This window comes from Homo sapiens, chromosome 3, assembly GCF_000001405.40.
Source record: "Homo sapiens chromosome 3, GRCh38.p14 Primary Assembly".
NCBI classification, from domain to species: Eukaryota; Metazoa; Chordata; class Mammalia; order Primates; family Hominidae; genus Homo; species Homo sapiens.
The window spans coordinates 180,097,505-180,110,605 of NC_000003.12; the positions used below are offsets into that span (position 1 = coordinate 180,097,505).

At 37.4% G+C, this 13,101-nt stretch overlaps 1 annotated feature.

The window, feature by feature from the left end:
• Window positions 4,559-5,059: an enhancer, noted in NCBI's record as "H3K4me1 hESC enhancer chr3:179819851-179820351 (GRCh37/hg19 assembly coordinates)". NCBI's record gives its function as "activates a minimal SCP1, AML or CMV promoter by ChIP-STARR-seq in naive H9 embryonic stem cells {active_cell/tissue: H9 hESC(naive)}" and the evidence as "EXISTENCE:reporter gene assay evidence [ECO:0000049][PMID:30033119]".

Below are 13,101 nucleotides of genomic sequence, written 5' to 3' on the forward strand. Positions count from 1 at the left end.
TCAGAGAAAATTCTTTTGGGACTCAGAAGAATGAATTGAGGCCATGTCCCATTACATTCTAGAAGAATATTTTTCAGGATTTATTTTATAAACATTTCAATAAAACATTTGCATGTGAAGCAGGTCTTAATAAACATTCATGTCCTGACCAAACAATTTTCTTCTTCTGTTACGGGAACTTGAGCTATAAAGGCAAGAGGCATGAAAGAATATCAGCAAAGCACTTTATGACAACCATCCTGGTGAGCCAGTAACTCAGAGAAAGGTAATTACAAGAATCATCAGAAAGTGTTCTCAGCCCTAATAAAAGCTTTTCCTTGGGGAAGCTCTTGCTGGTAGTTATTCACACAAATTATTTCTCAGAAGCCCACAGCAGATTGCCTAGACCAATTTTCAATTAAACTTCAGTGCTTTCAAAGTGGTGAAAGAGTGAAAGGCTTTTTTTTTTTTTTTAAGAGAGCAGTTTTCTGCTAACAAATAACTATGTGCCATGGTATGAAATTTAATAGTAGTTGTGGCATTGTATAACAAAAAGTAAACTGCAGTATATGAACTTAACAAATTCTTGGTCTAGATGCTGCTAGCTTATTCTTTCCTAGAGGCGTCAAGCAGTGACAAATCATGAAAAAGGTACTACCTTGGCTCTTGATTCCATGGCAGACTGTAGAGGTATCTAAAGTAAGGCTAATCATCTTAGCAAGAATTATGAGTGAGGTTCTATTACGGTTTTCCCTGCATTTTTGTGTACTAGCATATTATTGGTGGATATTAATGTGAAACTTATTAATAATATCATAGCCAAAGACTCTATAAATATAATTGATATGCCTACTCTATATTTCCATTGCTTATTTTGTATTTTGACCTTTAATGAGAGCTAATATATCACAAAAATATATTGATATGATTATCTCAAAAAGCTATAATTTCCTTGAGGGCAGGGACTGTGATTTAATATTTTTTGTTTTATTAATATTTGAATGAATGAAATAATGGAATATGTATCATCACATTTTCGATCATGAATAATAAACATTTGCTTTTGCCAGCCTGGCATCATTTCCTTCTTCTTCTGGCAATGCCACTTCCATTATCCTATGGAAAATCACTCCTTCCTCACTCTCAATGCACATAGTATGGAAATGGGATGGGGCGGGGTGGGGTGGAAAAATAACTTTAACATTAATCCCAGACATGGCAAAACTATATATTCCCTTCCTTTGGCTCAGTGATTCACAGATAGGCATGTAAGTAAAATTGGTTCAAATGGAGTGAATCTTGGGACTTTTGCTGGGTTCACTGGAAAAGAGTTACTCTCTTTATTTTCAGATTGGCGAAATAATAGAACTAATCATAGAGTGCTTGGTGGTAATAACAGAACCACATGGAAGAAGAATAGTCAAGAATGAAGCCAGTGTAGAAGGATGTCTTAATCAGCTGGGGCTACATAACAAGACACTATAGAATGAGTGGCCCAAATTGCAGAAATTTCTTTCTCACAGTTCTGAAGGCTGGAAAATCTGAGATTAGGGTGCCCATATAGGGTTCAGGAAAGGGTCCACTTCCTGATTGACAGATGGCCACTTTCTTGCTGTATCCTGGCAAAAAGCAGAGAGGGAGAGCAAGCTCTCCTGAGTCTCTTCTTATAAGGGCACTAATTCCATCATAAGGGCTTTACTCCCACAAACTAATTACTTCCCAATGACCTCGTCTTCAAATACCGTCACACTGGGGATTAGGGTTTCAACATATACATTTTGGGGGAACACAAAATGCATACATAGTCTATAACAAAGAGAAGCAAAATTGGAAAAGAGAGACTCTAGATGAATGCAGCTGGGCACCAATACCGGCTCTGCTTTAGGCTTCTCATTTATGTGAGCTAATAATTTCCCAATTACTTGACCAGTTTGACTTGAGTTTGTGTCGTTGACTCCTGTACTGTTTTTACTAAGGTTTAAAAAATCTTTCAGATTAGATTCCAATGACACCCTATGATGCTAGAATAGTCAGCATGGGCTAATTGGCCTCAGCCATTCTCCAACACTCCCGAAATTTGGTATTTATCAAATGAATAAAGAAACAAACAAATGGATAACTAAGTTGATATATAGATAAATAGATGAAGGGATAATCTGCAAAAAGACGTGATTCACAGGCCTGAAAATAATTGATTATTTAGCCAAATGCTCCCGTATCCATCGTCCCGCACGGAGCTTTTGGAGGCCAGGTTATCTTCCTGTGTTCAACATGGCACTGAAATAGTTAATCAGCTTCTTGAACTACTTCAGAGGGTAACAATTCATGGGCCCAGCATATCTTGGTCAACAAGTCAAGTTACGTATTTTACAGGCTAGAGAATGGAAGGTTGACATTTCCCAGGGTTTTTCTCATCTCCACTTTATAGGTTTGAGAAGTAAGTCATTTTTGATGCTGAGTTTCCTCATCGATAAAGGGGAAAGATTTATCTGCTATATGCATAGCAAAGAAAAGAAGATTGAATAAGGCAGAACTTTTGGTGGTAAAGCTTCAGTGGTGGTTTTATTTTTATTATTTTTGTATAAAATAATACTGGAGAACAAAATACTGGAGACTTTGGTGAAGAGCCTCAGGACTTTGCCTGCAAATTAGCTGTATATTCTAGGATACAATTACAAATCGTGGTATTTGTTTCACTACTTGAAAGGACTGGCTGAGGAGACATAATCAAGAGCTGAGGGAAGAAAATACAAGTCAGTTTAAATGCGACAAGGGATTTTGGGTCAGTGAAGTCAATCAATCTTGCTTAGAGACGTAATCAATAGACGAGCCACAAGAAAAGGGAGGAAGATCTCTACATCGGTCAGCATAAATTTAGAAAACATTATATAATTTTAGAATTTAGAGCTACAAACATAGTCGGCTCCATTGGAATGTACCCAAAACAGGATTTGAATCTCACTCTTCTTATAACCCCCCATCACCTCCACCTTTTGGAAATTGAGAAAGACATAAAACCTTGGTTTTTGTAACATGGAAATAAAAATAATTTTTGCATCTTATCATTGCTTAGTTGTTAAAATAAATTATATGATGAACATTGTTATGGTTAGCGTTAACTTAATTTAGTATCTAACATGGGCCAAGCACTGTCCTAAGTGGCCAGTGGATGGTCTCATTAAGTTCTCAGGAAAACCCAATGAAGTAGGGGTACTATTATTTATATTTTACAGGTAAGAAAAATAGAGTGGGCATGGGGTGTCACACAGTTCATGCACTTTGCCTAAGTTGCACAGCTAGGAAGTGACAAAACAGGTTTTTCACTGAAGTAGTCTACTCTAGAATTCTGCCAGGATTTTAAGTTTCTCTGTATTGGTTTTCTCTCAGAACAGATAGCAAAAACTTAATATATGTATATAAGTTGACATCAAACCATGCGCACATTGACACTGTGGAAGATGAATGGGGTTACCCAAATGGGAATAAAATATAGCAGAGAGGTGACTTGTCCATGGCTTCATTTTCACAAATGTAGTGTTAATTCAAGATCTAGGTGCCTTGCTCTAGATCTAATGCTGGGTCTATTTTTTTTCCTCTATCCATGCTGGCTTCTTTCCCTATCTAAAATAGTAGCTCCCTTATCTCCTGCCTCTACAGTTTGAAGCAGAATGGTGAATGAATTTATGCAGCAGCATCTATGTAACATTCTCCAAGTTTCTTAAATTGTGATGCCTGCAGCAGGCACCACCTTAAATCATCAATTTACTGAGATTTTGTCACATCCAGTAAGAAGAGCCTGAACTTTGGGCACTGACTTCCTGCCTACATGGACTCTGGTTCATACGATGCCTTTCCTACTGCATAAATATTTAAAAGATGGCCTAGATAATCTTTTGTTGTATAACTTCTCGAGGTCCTGAAGTCTTTAAACTATTAAAGAGAAGATTAAGAAGACAGAGGCAACCTTTACCAGATATTAAAACATAAAATAATAATACTTAAACTAGTATGGTAGGGCATAGGAATAGACAGATCAATGGAACAGAACTTGAAGCCCAGGTACAAATACAGCAAATAATCTAGTATGTCGTAAAGGTACTTAAATCCATAGGGAAAAGATGACTTACTCAATAAATACTTTCAGGGGAAATAAGTAGCCATGTAAGACAATAAAATTGAAATCGTATCCTAAGTCTCATGCCTAGATAAATTCCAAAAATACCAAAATTTTAAATGTAAAAATTTAAGGAAGGGCCAAGATGGCTGATTAGAAGCAGCTGCAGTCCATGGCACTTACAGAGAGGAATGAAAGGAGCCAGTGAATTCAGCACCTTCAACTGAAATATCCAAGTTCTTGCATTGGGAATGATTAGGCAAATAACTCAACCCGTGGAGAATGAAGAAAAGCAGGGTGGGGCAATGGCCCACCTGAGAGCTACATAAAGTGAAAGCAACCCCCACACCGAGCCAAGGGAAGCAGTGAGTGATTGTGCGACCCTGCCCAAGAAACCAGGCATCTCCCACAGATCTTTGCAGCCCACGGATCAGGACATCCCCTTGTGAGCCCACGCCACCAGGGCCTTCGGTCCCATACACGGAACTGTGTGGAGTCTTGGCAGAGCAGCCACTTAGGCACACATAGAGACCGAGGAGTTTTACATACTCCGGCTCTGGGATCTGCGGCAAGGTGGGAGATCCATGCGTACATATCTCTAGGAAGGGGGCTGAATCCGGGGAGCCAAAGAGCATCGTTCTGCAGGTCCCACTTCCATGACACCTCACGGGTTAAGACCCACTAACTTGGAATTTCAGGCAGCCAAAGTCAACAGGCTGGAGTCTGCCGAGTCAGGACTAAATTCCTGAGGGGAGGGGCGGTTGCTATATCTGCAGGTTGGTAGACTGAGCCATTCCAGCCTGCCTGCCGGCTTTGAAGAATACAGATGATCTGGAATAAGAAGGGTCCCCGACAACATAATCCAGCTGCGTTGCCAGATTGCAGACAGGCTGCTTCTTTAAGTGGGACCCTGATCCATTCCTCTTCACTGGGCAGGACCTCCTTGTGGGGGCTTCAGCCACTCTAGCCAGGGTTCTACGGACAGAGCCCTGATCTCTTCCTGGGATGAAGCTCCTGGAGGGAGGGGTGACCACCATACCACTTGTTTGGTAGACTCAGCTGTTCCAGCCTGCAGGCTTTGGAGAACACAAATGGTTCAGATGAGGAAGGGTCGGTCCCCTACATTGCAGCACAACTGCTCTTCAAAAAAGCAGCCAGACTGATTCTTTAAGCAGGTCCCTGATCTCATTTCTGCTGATTGGGCAATACCTCCCAATAGGGCTCTCCAGCCACCTCTTATAGGTGCACTTGGGCTGGCAGCAGGTTGGTGGCTCCATGAGACAGAGCTTCCAGAGGAAGGAGTGGGCTACTATCTTTGCTGTTTCACAGACTTCACTGGTGATACTTCCAAGTACAGGAAAACCCAATGCAACTAGGGTCTGGAGCAGACCCCCAGCACACTGCAGCAACCCTACAGAAGAGTGGCCTGACTGTTAAAGAAAAACAAACAAGTAAACAGAAAACAACATCAAAAAAACCCCATTAAAAGCCCCATTCAAAGGTCAGCAACCTCAAAGATCAAATGTAGATAAGCCCACAAAAATGAGAAAGAATCAATGCAAAAACACTTAAAATTCAAATAGCCAGAGTGCCTCTTTTCTTCCAAATGACCACAACACCTCTTCAGCAAGGGCACAGAACTGAGATAAGGCTGAGATGGATAAATTGACAGAAGTAGGCTTCAGAAGGTGGGTGATAATGAACTTTGCTGAGCTAAAGGAGCATGTTGTAACCCAATGCAAAGCAGCTAAGAATCATGATAAAACAGTACAGGAGCTGATAGCCAGAATAACCAGTTTAGAAAGGAAAATAACCAACCTGATGGAGCTGAAAAATACAACATGAAAACCTCACAATGCAGTCACAAGTATCAATAGCAGAATAGACCAAGTGAAGGAAATAATCTCAGAGCTTGAAGAATATCTTTCTGAAATAAGACAGGCAGATAAGAATAGAGAAAAAAGAATAAAAAGGAATGAAGAAAAACTTAGAAAAATATGGAATTATATAAAGAGACCAAACCTACGACTGATTGGGGTATCTGAACAAGATGGGGAGAATGGAACCAAGATGGAAAACATACTTCAGGATATCATCCAGGAGAACTAAAGACAAAAACCATGTGATTATCTCAGTGGATGCAGAAAAGGCCTTCGATAAAGTTCAACATCCCTTCATGTTAAAAACTCTCAACAAACTAGGTATTGAAGGAACAATAAGAATCATCTATGACAAACCCACAGCCAATATCATACTGAATGGGCAAAAGCTGGAAGCATTCCCCTTGAAACCTGGCACAAGACAAGGATGCCCTCTCTCACCACTCCTATTCAACATAGTATTGGAAGTTCTGGCCAGGGTAATCAGGTAAGAGAGAGCAAGAAAGAGTATTCAAATAGGAAGAGAGGAAGCCAAATTATCTTTGTTTGCAGATGACATGATCCTATATCTAGAAAATCCCACTGTCTCAGCCCTAAAGCTTCTTAAACTGATATGTAACTTCAGCAAAGTCTCAGGATACAAAATCAATGTGCAAATATTGTTAGCATTCCTACATACCAACAACTTGCAAGCAGAGAGCCAAATCATGAATGAACTCCCCCCATTCACAATTGCTACAAAAAGAATAAAATACCTAGAAATACAGCTAACAAGGGATGTGAATAACCTCTTCAAGGAGAACTACAAACCACTGCTCAAAGAAATCAGAGAAGACGCAAACAAATGGAAAAACATTTCATGCTCATGGATAGGAAGAACCAGTATTGTGAAAATGGCCATACTGCCCATAGTAATTTATAGATTCAATGCTATTCCTATCAAACTACCATTGACATTCTTCACAGAGTTAGAAAAAAACTATTTTAAAATTCATATGGAACCAAAAAAGAGCCTGTATAGCCAAGACAATCCTAAGCAAAAAAGAACAAAGCTGGAAGCATCACACTACCTGATTTCCAACTATACTACAAGGCTACAGTAGTCAAAATAGCATGGTACTGGTACCAGAACAGACAAATAGACCAATGGAATAGAATAGAGAACTCAGAAATAAGACTGCACATCTACACTCATCTATTCTTGGGCAAACCTGACAAAAACAAGCACTGAAGAAAAGATTCCCTATTTAATAAATGGTGCTGGGAGAACTGGCTAGCCATATGCAGAAAATTGAAACTGGACCCCTTCTTTACACTATATACTAAAATCAACTCAGGATGGATTAAAGACAAAAATTAACTCAAGATGGATTAAAGACTTAAATGTAAAACCCCAAACTATAAAAACTAGAAGAAAATCTAGGCAATACTGTTCAGGACATAGGCATGGGCAAAGATATCATGATGAAAATGCCGAAAGCAATTGCAACCAAAGCACAAATTGATAAATGGGATCTAATTAAACTAAAGAGCTTCTGCACAGTAAAATAAACTATCATCAGAATGAACGGACAATCTACAGAATGGGAGATAATTTTTCTGATCTTTTTATCTGACAAAGGCCTAATATCCAGAGTCTCCAAGGATCTTAAATGAACTTACAAGAAGAAAACAAACCACCCCATTAAAAAGTGGGCAAAGGACATAAACAAACACTTCTCAAAACAAGACATACATGCAACCAACATATGAAAAAAAGCTCAACATCACTGATCATTAGAGAAATGCAAATCAAAATCACAATGAGATACCATCTCACACTAGTCAGAATGGCTATTATTAAAAAGTAAAAAACAATAGATTCTGGTGAGGTTGCAGAGAAAAAGGAATGCTTTCACACTGATGGTAGAAGTGTAAATTCATTCAACCACTGTGAAAAACAGTATGGCGATTCCTCAAAGACCTAGAGGTAGAAACACCATTTGACCCAGCAATCCCATTACTAGGTGTATACTCAAAGGAATAGAAATCTTTCTATTATAAAGATTCATGCATACATATGTTCATTGCAGCACTATTCACAATAGCAAAGACATGGAATCAACATAAATGCCCACCAATGATAGACTGGATAAAGAAAAAGTGGTACATACACACCATGGATTACTATGAAGCCATAAAAAGGAATGAGATCATGTCCTTTGCAGGGACATGGATGGAATTGGAAGCCATTATCCTCAGCAAACTAATGCAAGGACAGACAACCAAACACTGCCTGTTCTCACATATAAGTTGGATCCAAATGATGAGAACACATGGACACATGAGGAGAAAAAACTCACACTGGGGTTGTTGGAAGGGGTCCCAACAGGAAGCATCAGGAAGAATAGTATGGATTCTGGGCTTAATACCTAGGTGGCGGGATGATCTGTGCAGGAAACCACCACGGCACACATTTACCCATGTAACAAACCTGCACATCCTGGACAAGTACCCCTGAACTTAAAATGAAAGTTGAAGATAATTTTTTTAAAAATTTAAATGTTTAAGACGAGGAGAATGATCAAATAATCCAAGATTGGGGAAGGCCTTTCTAGCTATGACATAAAACTCAAAAACCACAAAGATAAAGATTGATAAATTTACTTTCATCTATGTTTTAAATTGCAAAGATTGAACATATTCTAAGACAAATGACAAAATATGTAATAGGAAGATATTTGCAACTAAAGTAACAAATAAAGAGCCAGTTTTCCTAAAATATAAAACACTTCCACAAATTAATTAAAAAAAGAAGGACACTAACCCAATTGGAATAAACAGACAAAGAATATGAATTGGGAGGTCACAAAAAGGGAAATATAAATAATACTTTAATATAAAAGTGTTTGTCATCATTTACATGGTATTTATATTACATTTATATTATATGACAGATTTTTCACTTAGCAAAGAACAAAATTTTGATGATGCACTGTGATGGTGAGAATGTGGGGAAACAGATACTGTCATTACATTGATGGTGTAAGTGTAAATTATCCTATGGAGGACAGCTTGGCAATATCCATCAAAATTACAAATGACATATATCCTTTGATCCAACAATTCCACTTGTAGGAATGTATCCTATACATGAGGGAATTGATATGGAGTTATCTATCTATCATCTATCCTCTATCTATCGTAGTACTTTCATATGGTTAAAAATACAAAATATAAAAATGGTCAAGAGTGAAAAGGCTCCTTCCCTTCCATGTTCTCTGGCCACTCAGTTCCTTTCCCTATATTCAGTTCTCGTGTATTTTAACAAAAGCTGTCCATGTTATCTGACAGATATGAAGCTCTCAGTAAAGGCCATGACTTCAGTTCATTTTGTCGCCCAGATAGTTTGATCTCCAAAATTGTCAGATGTCATATTATATATATAGTATATATATATATAAACTCCAATATATACTTAAGTGAAAAAAGCAAGGTGCAAGACAGGATATATGGGTATACCATCATATATAAAATATATTTAGAAAAACACATGAGAACTGAATATAGGGAAAGTTCTATACTGGCCAGAGAACATGGATGGAAAGGAAGCTTATCACACTTGACCATTTTTATATTTTGTATTTTTAACCATATGAAAGTGCTACCTTATCAACAAATAAAATGTAAAATAAAAAAATAAGCATTAATCCTCCATATATATGGCTACATTTAAAAATAGATTTTATATGAGTTTATGATTGATAAAACGTGTTAAGGGGAGTGCTGAAATAATTTTAGAATAAATATGTTTTTCAGCAATGTTATTCGATAAGCACAGACCTCACCTTCTTTTTATCCTCTTAAATTCCTATTTAAGAGGTAAAAAAAGTACACAAATGAATTTTTTTAGCTGCCTCAGAAACCAAGGCTAAATATCACTATTTAGCCTTGAATAGGCATTTGAAAAACATCTATAAGGTAAAATAGTGATTCGATTGATGGGAAAAGGTGGGAGATCTATGGTCTTGTTCCTGGTAGCCAAACAGGAAAAAGCCCCATCTACATGGCACAGCTTTCTAAGAGACAAAGGTTTTCTGACCTGTATATGGAGAGCAAGGACAATCTGAGGGATTCTTTAGTGGTGTCTCTTTGGCTTCCCCTCATGTTATAGATTGGCTGCAATAAAAGTACCTGGAAGGACCCCAACCTGGATCCAAGCAACAACTGTCACTTAACAGAGTTCCAGTTCAGTGAGGGGCCTTTCCTCAGGGATGCTGTCCGTGTTATCTTACAGATATGAAGCTCCGAGTAAAGGCCATGACTTTGGTTCATTTTACTGCCCAGATAGTTTGATCTCCAAAATGGTCAGATGTCAATATTTACATATTTTTAAATGTTATGCCACTGATCTGAAAGCAAAGCCCTCTTTGGAATTTTTGAGTTAAATTTAACTCTGATTTGACTTCAGGATCACTATGGACAGACACAAAACTTCCTCCTTATGGATTAGTAAACAAGGAAAATCATAGAACTTATAAAAAACTCTGTGGCTTGAGATACCGTGAAGACTTACAGGAAGACTTATAGGAGTTGACTCCCTCTGCAATAATAAAAGTAGTATATGTGGCCATTTATCTGACTGCTCTTAGCTTCATCTTGCCCTTTCAAGCTTTGCTATATATTACAGGGAAATGGAAGTCTGAAAGCTACCTTTCACAGACTCCCTTACTAGCATGGTTCTTCTGGGTAGGGTCTATCAGTGAAAAGCACTGTTGGAAATTAGACTGAAAGGCATGAGGAAGAGAGAAGTAATCTTTCTTCCTATTTTAGGTTTTTGGTGGCTTCTCCAGCAGTGACAGCTGCACAGGAAAAATGCAGGCTCCTGGGTTCTTCAGATGTAGTTTCAGCAGCAGTGCAACGTGAGTGCTCTATCATCCCCATCAACATAGTGCTCAGGTGCTCTGGCTCCGGCAGCAGCTGTATTAGAAGTATTTGAGATCCTGCAGCATCAGTGGAAATGTGAGTTCCAGGCTTCTGCCATAGAAGCAGCAACAGTGGTGATAATGGTGGTAGCAGATGCTCCTGTAGCCTTAGTGATGAAGTTATTGTGGGCACTATATACTCTTTCCCCATTTGTCCTTTAGCTTAAGTGGGCAGTGGCTTCCTGAGTTACTAATAATATCCTCCTTTTTAAAAAAATTATTTAACCCTACTATCGTTTTTGTAACCAATGTCCTATATTACATTTCCATTGATTGAAAACCTAGCATAATTTCTTTTCCTTACTGACTGACATACAAAGCAGATTAATATTTAGGAGATTCATAATTTTTGGATTCAAGGAGATTGAAGATGTAAGAGAATGTACTTTTTTCAAATCAGTTTGGGATACCACAGAAAAGCAACCATGTAAAATAAAGAAGTGCTATGTGGAGATGAAAAATAATATTGCTATATTTTAAAGCACCATGAAAACTCAGCAGAAGAGCAAAATAAGGCACTAACTCATTACTCTGAAAACTGATCAAAAAGGTAAAGGATCAAGCATTTATTTTCCCTTTCCTGTATTTCAGGGTATTTCCGGTATTTCAGGGTAACCAAATAGCTATTGAAGGAATATTATTCTTTAATAAAATTATCATAGCTAATATATGCAGGACAAATGACAGAATTAGAAAATTGCAATTTTGCTATACCAATGGAATAATGGATCTAGGTTACAATCATCAGTGGCTGCTAACACCATTAAGTGAATGGTTAATGGAAAATTATAATGGACAGATCCCAGTTGACCACCTGAGCCCCCTAATTAATCTTAATATCACCAAAAGTAGACCAGATATTATGTGCACATAATGTAAAGCCACAGAAATTATACAGCACCTCTTATAAAATATTCCTGAAAAAAGACTTTATCTAATTAAGCCTGCAAGTATAACTACTAATTCAAAGAAAAAAGAGAGACAGGAGAATATGCTAATTTACACAAAAAGAAAAATAAGCAAAATCCAGAATGTGGGAAGTTTTAATTGTTCCCCAAAATAAATGATATTGGAAGGAAATGGGGAGAACACACTAATAATCATTAAAACAGCAATCAATCATTGTAAAGTGTGGCCCTTATCAACAGGAAAAAGGTAGTTCTTGGGAGAACTACGGCAAATTAGACACAGACAAGTCATTAGATGATATTAAACAATTATTGTTAATTGTGTTGGGTGTGATAATGTTGTTTTGTGTGTGTTTTAAGAAAAATCCCTTTTTCATAGGTATGAAGTCTTTATAGGAGAAATAATATAATGCATGAATTTGCTTTAAAATGCCCTAGTATCTCCTTTCTATTAAAAGAAGAAAAAAAGAGTTTTGTAATGGGTAGAGATTAAACAAGAACAGCGGACTGGTTATAACTGTTGTAGTTGCGTGGACTAAATATGAGAACTCATTTTATTATTTTTTTGTATGACATTTCTTCTAATGAACAATTTAAAATAATTTTGTTTACAAAATGCTTTTACGTCTCATGTTTTTTGTTTGTAATTTTAACAGCTAATTCCCATACTTATAAAATATTTAAAACCATAGCAAATATTAGGATGTGTTATCCCAATTAGTTTGAGTTTCAAGTTTATGCTGAGAAGCACTGCACTGCTCTAACTGTACATCAGGATAGATAATTCATAAAGACAATGTTTAAAAGACATCCCTGCTTTAAAACAAGATAAATACTTCAATTGACCAGAAGTGGAATGTAACACGGAGTAATGTGAGAGGGGCTGAGGCTGCAGGCCTTTTGGAGTTTTGGTTGTTTACACTAGAAACACAAAGAAAAATATTTGTTTACCAGCCTGTCACCATTATAAGACAGCGAGCTGCTTAAAGATGGAGGCCATCTGTCTTCATTTTAATATGTCTTGAAAAGTGCCTAGAACATATTAGGAAATAATTCAGTAAATAATGAGCAAACAAAAAGCTCAAAGAAAAGGATGCAAGGGTCAAACAAAATGCAAGCCTAAATTTGCACAAGCACTAAATGGATATGTGTTATTATTCTTCTGTTAATAGAACAGTGAAAAAAATCCTCTCTGTAGGACTCAAGAGCTCCTAGACAATGATTTTTTGTTTTTGTTTTTGTTTTTGCTTCTCATA